Raw genomic sequence first — 15,433 nt, forward strand, 5'->3', positions numbered from 1 at the left:
GAAAATTGTCATAAATGCTTGAAAAACATCAGGCAACAGAATTTAGTTGGCCACAATATATGTGTCTCAGATGTTCAAATGTTCACACTGATCTCCCATACACCTGCACCTCATCCTGTATTTTGCTACCTTGGCTGGTCAGCGTGACATCCGCCTGTGTCCAAGCCAGAAGCCTGGAAGTCACACTCAACTCCTGCTTCCTCTCCCACATCCAGTAAGTTAGCAAACCATATCATCCTCACTTCCTAAATATCTTCTGAATCCTCCTCTTCTATGTTGGCTCTGCTTGCCTTAAGGTAAATATATCCTCAACATCCTTCACCTAGGTTACTGCAAAAGCCTCTTAACTGGTCTCTCTGCTCTAATCTTTTGTCCCCTGCCAGTCACCTACATATTGTGCTTATTACCTTGCTAAGAGCGTAACTCCAAGCATGTAAATCCCAGCGTAAATGTGTCACTGGCTCTTCTCCAAAAGAAAGCACAATGCCCAAGTACTTTGGTGAGGTATCCTGCCACTCACACTGAACTTTGTACTCGGAACAGTCACAGCCCTTCAAACACACCCCTGCCTTTGCACTTACTGCTTTCTCAGGCTGGACTATTTTCCCCATCCCCAGACCCCCTTGGCCAAGCCAGACAGGCTTAATGGCTCCCTATTTGCTACAACGATTTTGCTTACTACATTATACAGTGACTTTCTAAAGAACGATTTGTCTCCTCTTAAGCAGCACATTTTTGAAGCACAGGAATGATGATTTATTCATCTCTATAAGACTAGCATCTAGCAATATGTCAAGCACATAAAAAGAACTCAATACACGTTGAATTCCACTTGGAACAGTCAATAAAGGCTCGTAGATCCAACCTGGCTTACCCTTCCAGTGGTCTGTAGGGAGGAAAGGTAACTTTATCATAAATTTCCATCACCTGACATATGATATTACTCAGGAAAAACTGAAATACATATTAAACAAAAATTAGGAGGGAGCATCCAGGGACTAGCTCAGTGAAGTTTCAAGGGTAAATTTCATGAGTGGAAATCAGGAGTATAGTTTGGCCTGAATTCAAGTACAATGCCTAGAGAAAACAAAGAAAAGAAAAGGCATCTGCAATGACCAGGAAGCTAAGAGACAGACCATCAGTATCATCAAAATCTGCCCTGATTTTTAGTTCTGCACTCCACACTCCAGCAGGCTGTTCTGTTTGCCTCCTTTCTAAAAGGCTGTCCTCTCAGCCGTAGGCTAAACCAAGCACTGGATCCAGTCTCAACAGGAAACACAGAAGAAACCAAGATAGGAGTGCCTTATGTTTATTGTGCTGGTGCCTAACTGGTTTCTAGTTCCTCATCTTAACTTAATATAGGCTCTCTCCTTCCTACATATTTACTTGCCCTTTCAGCTAAATTCTCTTGACTGCCCACTGTGACCAACTCTGAGCCAGACTTGCTTTCAGGCTTGCTCCTACCTATTCTTTTCTTATTTATTTATTTTTTTGAGACGTGTTATCTTTCTGTCACAGATGCTAGAATACAGTGGTGCAATCGCTACTCACTGCAGCTCAAACTCCTGCGCTCAAGAGCTCCTCCCTCCTCAGCCTCCTGAGGAGCTAGGACTATAGGTGTGCATCACCATGCCCAGCTAATTTTATTTTTTTATTTTTATTTTTTATAGAGACAGGGTCTCGCTATGTTGCCCATGCTGGTCTTGAACTCTTGGCCTCAAGTGATCCTCCTGCCTCAGCCTCCCAAAGTGCTGGAATTACAGGTGCGAGTCATGCCCCCAGCCTCTCCCTATTCTTTCTTAGCCTTCTGGTCACCAGCTGTGGTGTCTATCTGCAAATATGGCTGCCAATACTCATCTCATCCCTGTACATGCATGTCTCTCCGCTTCACAAAAGGTGAAGTCTGTTTATTTCCCCTCCCTTTGAGGGGAGGTGTTGTGACTTTTGAGGGGAGGTGTTGTGAGAGGAGGTGTTGTGACTCATCTCATCCCTGTACACGCATGTCTCTCTGCTTCAAAGGAGGTGGAGTCTGTTTATTTCTCCTCCCTTTGGGCTGGTGTTGTGACTTTACTCTGAGGAACAGAACGTGGCAGAAGTGACACTGCAAGTTTTGGGCCTAGTTCTTAATTGGTCTAGCAGCTTCTGCTTTGATTCTCCTGGAACCCAGCTGTCATGCTGTGAGAAAACTACAGGTTATCCTGCTGGAGAGACGGCACATGGAGAACCAAGACGCCATTGCCACAACCCGCACCAAGGCCCCAGGCATACGAATGAGGAACAGAGCCCATCTTTCCTCTGCATGTGTAATCTCAGCCTGCACCATATAAGCAAAAGAACTGTGAAGCTGCATGAGTAATCTCAGCCTGCACCATATAAGCAAAACAACCATCCAGACAACCCACAAAATGTGACAAATCATTGTTTCTGTAGTAAGTACTAAGGTTTTGTGACTGTCATACAGCAATAGATAACTGACACATCATCTTCCTTCCCGTTGCCACGATCCACCATTATTGCTCTGTCCCTACTAAGACATGATTTAGAAAGAGAAACTAGGGACACCTACACAAGCCTAATCATTGTATTTAGATGAGTTATGACAAATTAATGACTCAGTGAGCTTTTAGCTCATCTACCCTTATACAATTTGTTCACTGAGATTTCCTTGAATTAGTAAAGGGAGACTGAAGTTATGCTGTGCAGAAGATAGTAAAAAAGCTAGTTCTAAATTCCCAAAGTTAAGGGTTTTGGAACATGCTTCTCCTCTTGGACCCCAAACTAGTTACTTCTCCCTTAAAATTCCCTGCTACATTGCCATCCATTATAACATGTCACTTCTCTTCAATAGTTTTCACTACCATTGGAATATATTCAGATTTCTCAGCATAGAGTTCCCCTTGGGTGGTGGCAGAAAAAAAGCACCCACTGGCATGGGAATGCCCATGAGCTTTTCTTCATTTGGGAGTGCCTGGGCCTGAATAGTCACAGACTACAAGTCAAATCCTGCCACAACAGGGTCAAGGAAATACTCAAATTCTTATCTTCTAAAGCAGTGGTCCCCAGTCTTTTTGGCACCAGAGACCAGTTCCATGGAAGACCATTTTTCCATGGGACCAGGGAGTCAGGGGGAAGGATGGATGATTTTGGGATGATTCAAGTGCATTATTACATTTATTGTGTACTTTATTCGTATTATTATTATTATTATTATTGAGAAGGAGTTTTGTTCTTTTCCACCCAGGATGGAGTACAATGGCATGATCTCGGCTCACTGCAACCTCCACCTCCCAGGTTCAAGCAATTCTCTTGCCTCAGCCTCCCGAGTAGCTGGGATTACAGGTGCGTGACACCACGCCTGGCTAACTTTGTATTTTTAGTAGAGACAGGGTTTCACCATGTTGGCCAGGCTGGTTTCAAATTCCTGACCTCAGGTGATCTGCCTGCCTTGGCCTCCCAAAGTGCTGTGATTACAGGCGTGAGCCACTGTGCCCAGCCCTATTTCTATTATTATTACATACTCACTATAATGTAGAATCAATGGAAGCCCTGAGCTTGTTTTTCTGCAACTAGATGGTCCCATCTGGGTTGAAGGGAGACAGTGACAGATCATCAGGCATGAGATTCTCATATGGAGTGTGCAACCTAGATCCCTCGCATGCACAGTTCACAATAGGGTTTGTGCTCCTATGAGAATCTAATGCCGCCGCTGATCCGACAAGAGGCAGAGCTCTGGCCTGGTTCCTAACAGGCCATGGACTGGTACTGGTCAGTGGCCCAGGGGTTGGGAATCTCTGCTCTGAAGTATTTATGGGGGGAAATGATATGTAGGATTTTTTCTAAAAATACTCCAGGGGAAAAAGTGAGGGGAGGTGTAGATGAAACAAGATGGGCAGAATCCTGACAACTGTTGAAGCTGATTGACGGGAATATGAGGCAGGGGAGTGATGCTATTCATTCTATTTTCATGTATGCTTGAAAATTTACATACTTTAAAGCTTAAAAACATTTTTAAAAATCATGGCTCAATAATTACTTAAAATAGATGGGCTATTAGTTAGGGTTTGAAAAGTCTCGTTACAGAGATTTGTTATAACGCATATGACCTTACACAAATTCAACGATTTAAACTTTTGTCAGAAATTTTCTTTAACAAGAAAATTCTGGACCCCGATAATGAGTGATACAAATCAAATCAAAGGCACAGGGTTTTCAATAGGGATCCAAGGGCCCTTGAAGGATCCATGAACGGGCGTTAGGAAGTTAATAAACTGAATTTTTGGTTATACATACTGATGTGTATCATTCTGGGGAGACAGTCTAAAGCTTACCTCAGATCTACAAAGGGATGGATAGCTACCACTACTCCCTCAAAAAAACTTAGACATATTAAGCATATTTCCATGGTAGGAAATAGTTTTCAAAAAGAAGACATAATTTTGAGGAAAAAAATTGTATGAATTAGTTTGACTTTACCACAAGGGCAGCATGCCTTTTATGTGACTGAGAATAACAGTGCAGGCAGCAGTGCATGAGCAGCAGCCAGGGTCAGCTTTCTTTCACATTTCCAAATCCAAAGGATATCAAGTGTTTCTTTGTTTCTCTTACTTATCAGGAATCCAGAGTCTCACGGTTCTGTCTCGTGAGGCAGACGCCAATAAGTTTCCATGTGGAGAAAACTGCACGCTGGTTACAACATCCTTGTGACCCACATATCTGTAAGCTCTAGCATGTGGCTTGAAATTCCATAGCATGAGAAAGGTATCCCAAGAAGCAGTAGCTATCAAGAAATAGAAGAACAAAACCACTGTTTGTTAAAATGCAAACATAGGTGTGTCTCATTACAATGAGCAGCATATCTAATAACAAGGCATCCAGGTAATAGAGCGGCTGGAGGTTGTAAGGCTGCCCAGGTAATAGCCAAATTACTTTTTAAAGGTACTCAAAACTACATCACTAATATGCAAGCTTGGCTGTGTCCTATGTAAGCACACAGCAGGATGACTGGCCCCCGTATTCAATTAGCGCTCAGTAACTTTATTTACTAGAAGGCCGCAGCACAGTGTAACAGAGGGTACACGGGACTAAGAGTCAGTTTTGTTTCTAACTCTGGGTAATGGAAAGCTAGTTAACCTCTGTGTCATGATGTCATGAGGACTGAATGTTTTTCCTGAGAGGGATGGATGAGATAATTTTTCAAACTGTTTATGTGGAAATAATTTCACACTTACAGAAAAGTTACAAGAATAGTACAAATAACACTAATATGCCTTTTACCCAAATCTACTTGTTAATGTTTTGCTTCATTTGGTTTGTAATTTGCTCTGTACTTGTTTCTCCTTGCGCATGAACACACGTAAACCCACACACACAAACACATACGTATTTTTTTGTTCCTGAACCATTTAGGAGTAAGTTATGCAACTCACAGCATCTTTATTCCTAAATACTTCAGTGTGTTTTTCCTAAGATTTAAGATAGTCTCTTAACACACCCATAGCACAGTTAGCAGCTTCATGAAGCTGATTATTAAAGATGCAATATTTTAATATAGCAACTATATTTTATCAACTGATCCAATAATACTTTTATAGCTGGATAAGATGATTTTATTAGTCTCTTTCTGCTCTATAATTTAATGGCATTTGATGATTAATAAAAGAATTAAAAGAATCGTGTGTGTCAGACAATAGTTTAAGGATTTACAAAAAGGAAAAATGCAATCAATGGTGGAAATAACTGACTTGACAAAGAATGAACAAATAAACAAATGAAAGGTAGATCTAACTCTTGCCTAAAAAACAAATTTTATTATATGCATGTAGCCCTAGAATGGCTCCAATAATAGGAAGTAGGTCAATGAGAATCACTAAATCTGGATTGTAGAGTGCTTAGAAAAAAATGTAATGTTATAAATTCGAACACAATTAGTATCACTGTTAGAGAAACATAGGGCCTGGCTATATAAAGTCACTGAAACCTATGTTCTTTTGCCAACATACAAAGTTCATTTGGGCTCAGCCCATGCATTATTTCCATGTAAAACAGTTAAAAGTGAGTTCAGCTACAATACTGCTTAGCACCCCCTTTTTAAAAAAATACAAAAAGTTAATATTCCACCAGAGCTTATCCAAATTACTAAAGATTTATAGCAGAGTCAGAATTACCCAAGGCTAATGCAGACAAAGCAAGGAAACTGATGAGTTATCATATGTAATAAACTCAGGACACTATTTGAGTTCTGTGTATCATGCTGCAAACGAGATAAACAAAAGCAAATAAGATACAATCCTTTCTTTCAAAGAACCACATAGTAGGGAAGACAGCATTAATAATAAACAGATACAGAAAACTTTTATATATTATTTACTCATCAATGTTAGGTGGGGTGATTGGGTGGTCCACTCTGAGGAAAGGACATTTGAGCAGAGAGGTGAGTGAAATAGGGAGCGATCCTGGCTGAGACATGGATAAAGAGTACTCTGAGCACAGGAATCCCTGTGCAAAAGCACCTGGAAGAATGAGGAATGACAAGGAGGTCAGCGTTTCCATAGTAGACAGGAGAGAAGAGACCGGTGGGAGGGAAGCTGAAAAGGGGGCAGATGGAGGAGGAGAAGCCATGGTGGGAGGTGTGTCTTCTTCTTCTAAAGTGCAATGTGCCATTATCCTAAGCGAATTAATGCAGGAACAGAAAACCAAATACCGTATGTTCTCATTTACAAGTGAGAGCTGAACAGTAGGTACAATAGACATAAAGATGGCAACAATAGCCACTGGGGACTACTAGAAGAGGGAGGAAAGGAGCGGGGAAAGGTTTGAAAAACTATTGAGAACAATGCTCACTACCTGGGTGATGGAATCAATTGTACCCCAAATCTCAGCATCATGGAGTAAACCCATGTAACAAACCTGCACATGTACTCCCTGAATCTAAAATAAAAGCTGAAATTATTGAAAGAAAAAAAAAACCTGCGATGGGAAACTACTCTAGATTTTGAGCAGGGGCAATCTCATGATCTGGTTTAAGAACACTGCCACTTTGACAATAAGGAAAGGATTTTTTTTTAATTGTGTTCTCAAAGGAGGGTACTAAATTATGGAAAGAAATAAAAAATAAAACAATTGTGGTGGGTCAACTGGATACTCATAAGGAAGAAAATTAATCTTGAATCCTACACTTTATACCACATACAAAAGTTAATTCCACGTAGAAAACAGATCTAAATGTGGTACGTAAAACAATAAGCTTTTAGAAGAGAACACAGAATATCTTCATGACCTTGGGGTAGGCAAACACTGCTTTAAAAAGACATTAACGTGTTTGTTGAGGGCAGAGCCAATGGCCGGGAAGTGTTGTTGGCGCACGCCTTCCAGATCGCAGCTCTTGCGGCGGCCATCGCCTTCGACTTAAGGGTGTTGCTTGGCCGCCGCCTGGTAGTCCGGCGATTCATTTCTTGCTCGGCCTCCTGGAGCTGTGGTCTGTGTGGGCTTCCACCTCAGACACCTGCGCTGGCTCAGCGGGGCCGGAACATGGCTGTGTCGGGTCTGGATCATCTCAAAAATGGCTACAGAAGAAGATTTTGTCAACCTTCCAGGGCACGTGACATTAACACAGAGCAAGGCCAGAATGTTCTGGAAATCTTACAAGACTGTTTTGAAGAAAAAAGTCTTGCCAATGATTTTAGCACAAATTCTACAAAATCAGTGCTTAATTCAACACGCAAAATAAAAGACACTTGTATTCAGTCACCAAGCAAAGAGTGCCAGAAATCACATCCAAAGTCAGTTCCACTTTCTTCAAGGAAGAAAGAAGCCTCTCTGCAGTTTGTTGTAGAACCAAGTGAAGCCACCAACAGATCAGTTCAGGCCCATGAAGTTCGTCAGAAAATTCTGGCAACTGATGTTAGTTCCAAAAATACACCTGACTTGAAAAAAATGTGAAGTAGAAACATAAATGATCATCACAGTGAAGCTGATGAAGAATTTTACTTATCTGTTGGCTCACCTTCTGTTCTTTTGGATGCAAAAACATCTGTATCGCAAAATGTTATTCCATCTAGTGCCCAAAAGAGAGAGACTTACACTTTTGAAAATTCAGTAAATATGCTGCCTTCAAGTACAGAGGTTTCACTTAAAACCAAAAAAAGATTAAACTTTGAAGATAAAGTTATTTTAAAGAAAATAGAAATAGATAGAAATAGATAATAAAGTATCAGATAAAGAGGATAAAACATCAGAAGGACAAGAAAGAAAACCATCAGGATCATCTCAGAATAGAATACGACATTCAGAATATGAAATTCAATGACAAGCTAAAAAAAGTTTTTCAACATTGTTTTTAGAAACAGTAAAACGAAAAAGTGAATCCAGTCCCATTGTTAGGCATGGAGGAATTGTTCCACCTCATTCGTGTCCTCCCGATGATATGAAGTTGATAGAGGATGAATTTATAATTGATAAGTCAGATCAAAGTTTTGCCAGTAGATCTTGGGATTACTATACCAAGAAAGGCGGGGCCTCTGAAACAACGCACCATATCCCCGGCTGAGAGCACTGCACTCCTTCAAGATAGAAAGTCAAGAGAAAAGCATCATAATATATTAGCTAAGACTTTGGCAAATGACAAACATTCCCATAAACCTCACCTAGTAGAGACATCTCAGCCCTCTGATAAAACAGTACTGGATACAAGTTATGCTTTGACAGGTGAAACAGAAAATGACTGTAGATCTACAAAATATGAAATGTATTCCAAGAATGCAGAAAAATCATCTGGAAGCAAAAGGACTATAAAACAAAAACAGAGAAGAAAATTTATGGCTAAACCAGCTGAAGAACAGCTCGATGTGGGACAGACTAAAGATGAAAACATACATATGTCACATATTACCCAAGACAAATTTCAAAGAAATTCAGACAGAAATATGGAAGAGCGTGAAGAGATGGGAAATGATTGTGCTTCCAAAATACAGATGCCACCTGTGGGAAGCAAGAAAAGTAGCACTAGAAAAGATAAGGAAGAATCTAAAAAGAAGCGCTTTTCTAGTGAGTCCAAGAACAAACTTGTGTCTGAAGAAGTGACTTCAACTGTCACGAGAAGTCGAAGAATTTCCAGGCATCCGTCTAATTGGTGGGTGGTAAAATCAGAGGAGAGTCCTGTTTATAGCAATTCTTCAATAAGAAATGAATTACCACTGCATCACAACAGTAGGCAAAAATCTGCTAAGAAAACAAATCAGTCATCTAAGAATATTGGGAAAAAAACTATTCCACTTAAAAGGCAGAAGACAGCAACTAAAGACAGCCAAAGAGTACAGAAGTTTTTAAATGCTAAAGGTTCTGGAGGTATCATTGGTCATGATGAAATTTCCAGTTGTTTCCTGAGTGAGCCATTGGAAAGTGATGAGGCAGACTTGGCTAAGAGGAAAAATCTGGATTGTTCTAGATCTACAGGAAGCTCAAAGAATGAAGATAATATTATGACTGCACAGAATGTTCCCCTAAAGCCTCAGACCAGTGGATATACATGTAATACACCAACAGAGTCAAACTTGGATTCTGGAGAGCATAAGACTTCAGTTTTAGAGGAAAGTGGACCTTCCAGGCTCAATAATAATTATTTAATGTCTGGAAAGAATAATAATGATGTGGATGATGAGGAAGTTCCTGGAAGTTCAGATGACTCAAAACGAACTAAAGTGATACCAAAGAACAGAATCCATCACAAACTAGTATTGCCCTCCAACACACCAAATGTTCGCAGGACCAAGAGAACACGTTTGAAACCTTTGGAGTACTGGCGAGGACAGCAAATAGATTATCAAGGAAGGCCATCAGGAGGATTCGTGATTAGTGGAATACTATCTCCAGGCAAAATATCGTCTAAAAGGAAGGCAAGAGAAAATATTGGAAAAGTTGACAAAAAAATCTAATAAGAAAAGGATCTGTCTTGATAACGATGAAAGAAAGACTAGCTTAATGGTAAATCTAGGTATACCTCTTGGAGATCCTTTGCAGCCAGCAATGGTAAAGGACCCAGAAACAAGAGAGATTATTCTCATGGATCTTGTAAGGCCACAAGATACATATCAATTTTTTGTTAAGCATGGTGAGTTGAAGGTATATAACACATTGGATACACCCTTTTTTTCTACTGGGAAATTGATATTAAGACCACAAGAAGAAAAGGGAAAGCAGCATGTTGGCCAGGATATATTGTTTTTTTATGTTAACTTTGGTGACCTTTCGTGTACTTTACACGAAATACCTTATATAATAAGTACTGGGGATTCGTTCTATGTTCCTTCAGGTAACTATTATAACATCAAAAATCTCCTGAATGAGGAAAGTGTTCTTCTTTTTACTCAGATAAAAAGATGAAAGATCAACCAACCTTAAATATATGTGTGTATATATGTATATGTGAAAAAGTTTGTATAGTTGGGACATTTGTCTTTGTAATTACTTGTGATGTTTTAAAATAAAAAAATTATTCATTTTTGTGAAAAAAAGACATCTATCCCTATCCCTATCCCTATCCCTATCCCTCTCTCCCCACGGTCTCCCTCTCCCTCTCTTTCCACAGTCTCCCTCTGATGCCCAGCCGAAGCTGGACTGTACTGCTGCCATCTCGGCTCACTGCAACCTTGCTGCCTGATTCTCCTGCCTCAGCCTGCCGAGTGCCTGCGATTGCAGGCACGCGCCGCCACGCCTGACTGGTTTTTGTATTTTTTTGGTGGAGACGGGGTTTCGCTGTGTTGGCCGGGCTGGTCTCCAGCTCCTAACCGCGAGTGATCTGCCAGCCTCGGCCTCCCGAGGTGCCGGGATTGCAGACGGAGTCTCATTCACTCAGTGCTCAATGTTGCCGAGGCTGGAGTGCAGTGGCATGATCTCAGCTAGCTACAACCTCCACCTCCCAGCCGCCTGCCTTGGCCTCCCAAAGTGCCAAGACTGCAGCCTCTGCCTGGCTGCCACCCCGTCTGGGAAGTGAGGAGCGTCTCTGCCCGGCCACCATCCCGTCTAGGAAGTGAGGAGCGTCTCTGCCCGGCCGCCCATCGTCTGAGATGTGGGGAGCGCCTCTGCCCCGCCACCCCATCTGGGATGTGAGGAGAGCCTCTGCCCTGCTGCGACCCCGTCTGGGAGGTGAGGAGCGTCTCTGCCCGGCCGCCCCGTCTGAGAAGTGAGGAGCCCCTCCGCCCGGCAGCCGCCCCATCTGAGAAGTGAGGAGCCCCTCCGCCCGGCAGCCGCCCCATCTGAGAAGTGAGGAGCCCCTCCGCCCGGCAGCCGCCCCGTCTGAGAAGTGAGGAGCCCCTCCGCCTGGCAGCCGCCCTGTCTGAGAAGTGAGGAGCCCCTCCGCCCCGCAGCCACCCTGTCTGGGAAGTGAGGAGCGTCTCCGCCCGGCAGCCGCCCCGTCCGGGAGGGAGGTGGGGGGCGCCTCTGCCCGGCCGCCGCCCCATCCAGGAGGTGGGGGGCGCCTCTGCCCGGCCGCCCCTTCTGGGAAGTGAGGAGCCCCTCTGCCCGGCCACCACCCCATCTGGGAGGTGTACCCAACAGCTCATTGAGAACGGGCCATGATGACGATGGCGGTTTTGTGGAATAGAAAAGGGGGAAATGTGGGGAAAAGATAGAGAAATCAGATTGTTGCTGTGTCTGTGGAGAAAGAAGTAGACATAGGAGACTCCATTTTGTTCTGTACTAAGAAAGATTCTTCTGCTTTGGGATGCTGTTGATCTATGACCTTGCCCCCAACCCTGTGCTCTCTGAAACATGTGCTGTGTCCACTCAGGGTTAAATGGATTAAGGGCGGTGCAAGATGTGCTTTGTTAAACAGATGCTTGAAGGCAGCATGCTCCTTAAGAGTCATCACCACTCCCTAACCTCAAGTACCCAGGGACACAAACACTGCGGAAGGCCGCAGGGTCCTCTGCCTAGGAAAACCAGAGACCTTTGTTCACTTGTTTATCTGCTGACCTTCCCTCCACTATTGTCCTATGACCCTGCCAAATCCCTCTCTGCAAGAAACACCCAAGAATGATCAATAAAAAAAAAAAAGAAAGAAAAAAGACATTAACGTTAATAAGTATAGAGGAAAAGAATGATAATTTGTACTGTGCAAAAATTAAGAAGTTTTGTTCACTGAGAGATACCACTAACCAAGTAGAAAAGCAAGCCACCAAGTGGCAAAGAAGATATTTACAACACATATATCCAACACATAACAAAGTGTGCATATACAGAATCTATAAAGAATGCTACGAATCAGCCAGGTACAGTGGCTCATGCCTGTAATCCCAGCAATTTGAGACGCCAAGGTGAGAGGACCACTTGAGGCCAGGAGTTTGAGACCAACTTGGGCAACATAATGAGACTCCATCTCTACAAAAAAAATAAAATTTAAAAAGAATGCTACAAATCAATAAGAAAAAGGCACACTACCCAACAACAACAACAAAAATAGGCAAAGGACTTAAACAGGCACTTTGCAAAAGAAGATACCCATATGGTCAATAAACATATGAAAATGTGCTCAATTCCATTAGTCATCACGAAAACGTAAATTAAAACCACAATGAGATATCCGTGCACACTCATCAGAATGATTACAATGAAAAAGATAAATAACACCAAATCTTGGTGAGGATGTAGAACAACTGGAATGTTCATATACTACTAGTGGTTATAACCACTTTGAAAATCTATTTTGAAATATCTATTGAAGCTGAATATATACTTAGTATTTGATTCAGCAATTCCACTTCTAGGAATATACCCACAGAAATTCTTATGTATGGTTAGCAAAAGACATGTGCAATGTTTGTGGCAATACTATTCACAATAGATCAAAGCTAGAAGCCCAACTATCCAAGTAAAATGAATACATAAATTGTGATATATTCATGTTGCATACCCACTGTGTTAAATTTTACTTATATGAAGTTTAAGAAGAAGCAAAATTAACCTATGAAGTTAGAAGCAAACATAGTGATTATGTGGATGGCAGGGAGGGAGTATAGTGGCTGGAAGGGAACACAAGAGGGGACTTCCGGAGATGCTGGTAATGTTATGCTTCTCACTCTGGGTTTTGGTTAAATAAGCAGGTCACATTCTAAATATTCATCAAGCTTTACAGTTATATGATTTGTGCAATTTTTGGAACATATCAATGCTTCAATAAAACATTTAGGAAAAAGCAGAAAACATCACTCTAGCTGTTGTGTGGAGAAGCTACAAGGGGCAAGGGACAGATCTATTAGGAGGCTACTGCAATCACGCAGTCAGGAGAAAGCAGTGGTCTGGACTAGACTGCGAGCCTTGGAAGGAGGAAAAAGAGTCAAAATCAAGATATACTGTAGGGTCTATGAGACTTGCTAATGACTAGATGTGAGGGAGAGAAAAAGAGAAGATGCTAGAATTTTGGCCTGGGCACTGAAGTGAGTTTTAGTGCCATTTAATGAGATGAGAAAGACCAGAAAAGGAGATCTGAAGTGATACAGGTTGGGGTGGACATAGTAGTTTTGAGATGCCAATTAGACATACAAGTGAAAATGTCAAGTAGGAAGATGGATATACCCCGCCTGGAGCCCAGGGAGAGGTTCTGACTGTACAGTGTGGTGGTTAAAAGAACACCCTGTGAAATTAGACTCACTGTGTTCAAATCCATGCTGTCACTTACTGCTGTGTGCCCTTGGGCAAGTTATTCCACCTCTCTGTGCCCAGGACATTTCATTTGCAAAATGAGGTGTTAAAAGTATTAAAGGAAATAGTACTTGCAATTTATGCCTGCCACATGAAAAATACTCAAATGTAGCTATTATTGCTAAAGTTTTCTCTGTTAGTAGTAACTTAGAGAAAGTACTAAAGACTGTAAACTAGATGGGATCACTGAGGAAATCAGTACAGATAAAGAAGAGGTTGAGGACACTTAACGTTCAGATAAGGAAGAGCAAAGGAAGGAGCCACAAACGAAGTAGGAGAGGAACAAGGACATTGTGGTGTCCAGGAAGAGAAGGAGCATTCCAAGAGGGTGACAAGTGTGTCAAATGAGGTTTAGTAAAATCAGGCCTGATCAGGACCTGCTACATAATTTGCAGGGCCTAGTGCAAAACGTAAATGTGAAGCTCTTATAGGAAAATAATTAAGAATTTCATAGCATTAAACTAAGCATGGGGCCCTGTGCAACTGTACAGGAGGTATGCCCACAAAGCTGGCCCTGGGCCCAAGAGAGAGGAGGTTCCAGCGGGGCTTCCTGGGTCGAGTAGGGGCTCAGAAAGCTGTGAAACTCACTCATTTCCTGCATCAGGACTTACTTTGGTCCTGGATAAATAATATTGAAGATATATACTTAAAATATTCCTAACATCAGAATTTGTCCATGTGTTTTCTTCCTCAAGAAAGTGGGATCAAAGCCAGAAAGGCATGGAGTCAGAAGAAAATAGGAGGGAGTTAATACATATTATATAACATATTACGACCCCCAAGGCAGCAGATCACTTCAGCCCAGAAGTCTGAGACCAGCTGGGCAACGTCTCGAAACCCCGTCTCTACAAAAAATAACAAAAAAATTAGCTGGGCATGGTGACCTGCACCTGTATTCCCAGCTACTCTGTGGGGGTGGGGGAGGCTGAGGTGGGAGATAGAGGCTGTACTGAGCCACGATTGCGCCACTGCACTCCAGCCTGCTCCAGACAGAGCAAGGCCCTGTCTCAAAAAAAAAAAAAAAAAAAAAAAAAACTATGAAAACCAACATTGAATTTCCCTCTTTACTTCCTTAACCTTCTTTCTTAGGAAAGAACTGTCCTACCAAACCCTAATACCATGATAATAAAATGTATTTGGTTATTGATGTCAGTGTTGTACTGTGTCAACTTGGAATTTGCTTTCATACATTTCCATTAAACCACACCCTATATAAACATTACCACATAATTTAAAATGTCAAAGCTTGTACCATTCATCTTCAACGGGTCTATTTCGAGATAAAATGTCAAAAGGGAGGAAATTAAGGGAAAACATTAACTAGTAATCTACCAGTTTAAAAAAACTATTTATGTTCTATAACAATAATCCATTGTTTCAAGAAATCCCTGTTGGCAGAAGAAAGAACAAAGCCCATGCTTACCTAGGTCAGTGCTTTGTCTCTGGAGGTGACAACAAAGAACAACAAATGGAAAACATGTTTGCTCTTTGTCTGTCACACAATGTCCAAATGGCCACCCGTCTTTGTGTCACCTTAAGTACCAATAACTTCCTTGAGTCAACTCAAGCTTTCTCACTCATTGATTTGACCAAAATCAGCTGCAGTTACTTAGAGGCTCTGTCTGGAACACTATTTTCTGAAAAGAAATGTTACCGTCTCCAGTTTTTTGTTTCTTACAAATTATCTTACGTATCTTTTCAGTTGGTAATATGTGTACCTGAAACAGAATTCCAATATTAC

At 41.7% G+C, this 15,433-nt stretch overlaps 2 protein-coding genes and 1 pseudogene across 13 annotated transcripts in view, besides 1 other annotated feature; 1 reads left to right on the plus strand and 2 right to left on the minus strand.

Moving 5' to 3' along the window:
• The window catches only part of POC1B-DUSP6 (POC1B-DUSP6 readthrough), a 177,983-nt gene that overhangs the window by 144,501 nt on the left and 18,049 nt on the right, over positions 1-15,433 (minus strand). For 4 of the 6 annotated variants that reach the window (NR_189589.1, NR_189587.1, NM_001425795.1 and 1 more), the window contains exon 3: positions 4,606-4,777. The exons of the other annotated variants lie outside the window; for them this stretch is intronic. Coding sequence is in view for 2 of the 4 variants with exons in the window: in NM_001425795.1 (NP_001412724.1) it covers positions 4,606-4,777 (172 nt within the window). In the remaining 2 variants the exon portion in view is untranslated. The remainder of the gene's footprint in view (positions 1-4,605; positions 4,778-15,433) is intronic. 6 annotated transcript variants of the gene reach the window in all.
• The window catches only part of POC1B (POC1 centriolar protein B), a 124,581-nt gene that overhangs the window by 91,099 nt on the left and 18,049 nt on the right, over positions 1-15,433 (minus strand). For 4 of the 7 annotated variants that reach the window (NM_001425772.1, NM_001425771.1, NM_172240.3 and 1 more), the window contains one exon: positions 4,606-4,777. The exons of the other annotated variants lie outside the window; for them this stretch is intronic. In NM_001425772.1, the coding sequence (NP_001412701.1) occupies positions 4,606-4,777 (172 nt within the window). The remainder of the gene's footprint in view (positions 1-4,605; positions 4,778-15,433) is intronic. 7 annotated transcript variants of the gene reach the window in all.
• Positions 7,377-10,517, plus strand: CENPCP1 (centromere protein C pseudogene 1; annotated as a pseudogene).
• Positions 10,778-11,451: an enhancer, noted in NCBI's record as "H3K27ac hESC enhancer chr12:89897120-89897793 (GRCh37/hg19 assembly coordinates)". NCBI's record gives its function as "activates a minimal SCP1, AML or CMV promoter by ChIP-STARR-seq in naive H9 embryonic stem cells {active_cell/tissue: H9 hESC(naive)}" and the evidence as "EXISTENCE:reporter gene assay evidence [ECO:0000049][PMID:30033119]".

Source organism: Homo sapiens, chromosome 12 (genome assembly GCF_000001405.40).
Source record: "Homo sapiens chromosome 12, GRCh38.p14 Primary Assembly".
NCBI classification, from domain to species: Eukaryota; Metazoa; Chordata; class Mammalia; order Primates; family Hominidae; genus Homo; species Homo sapiens.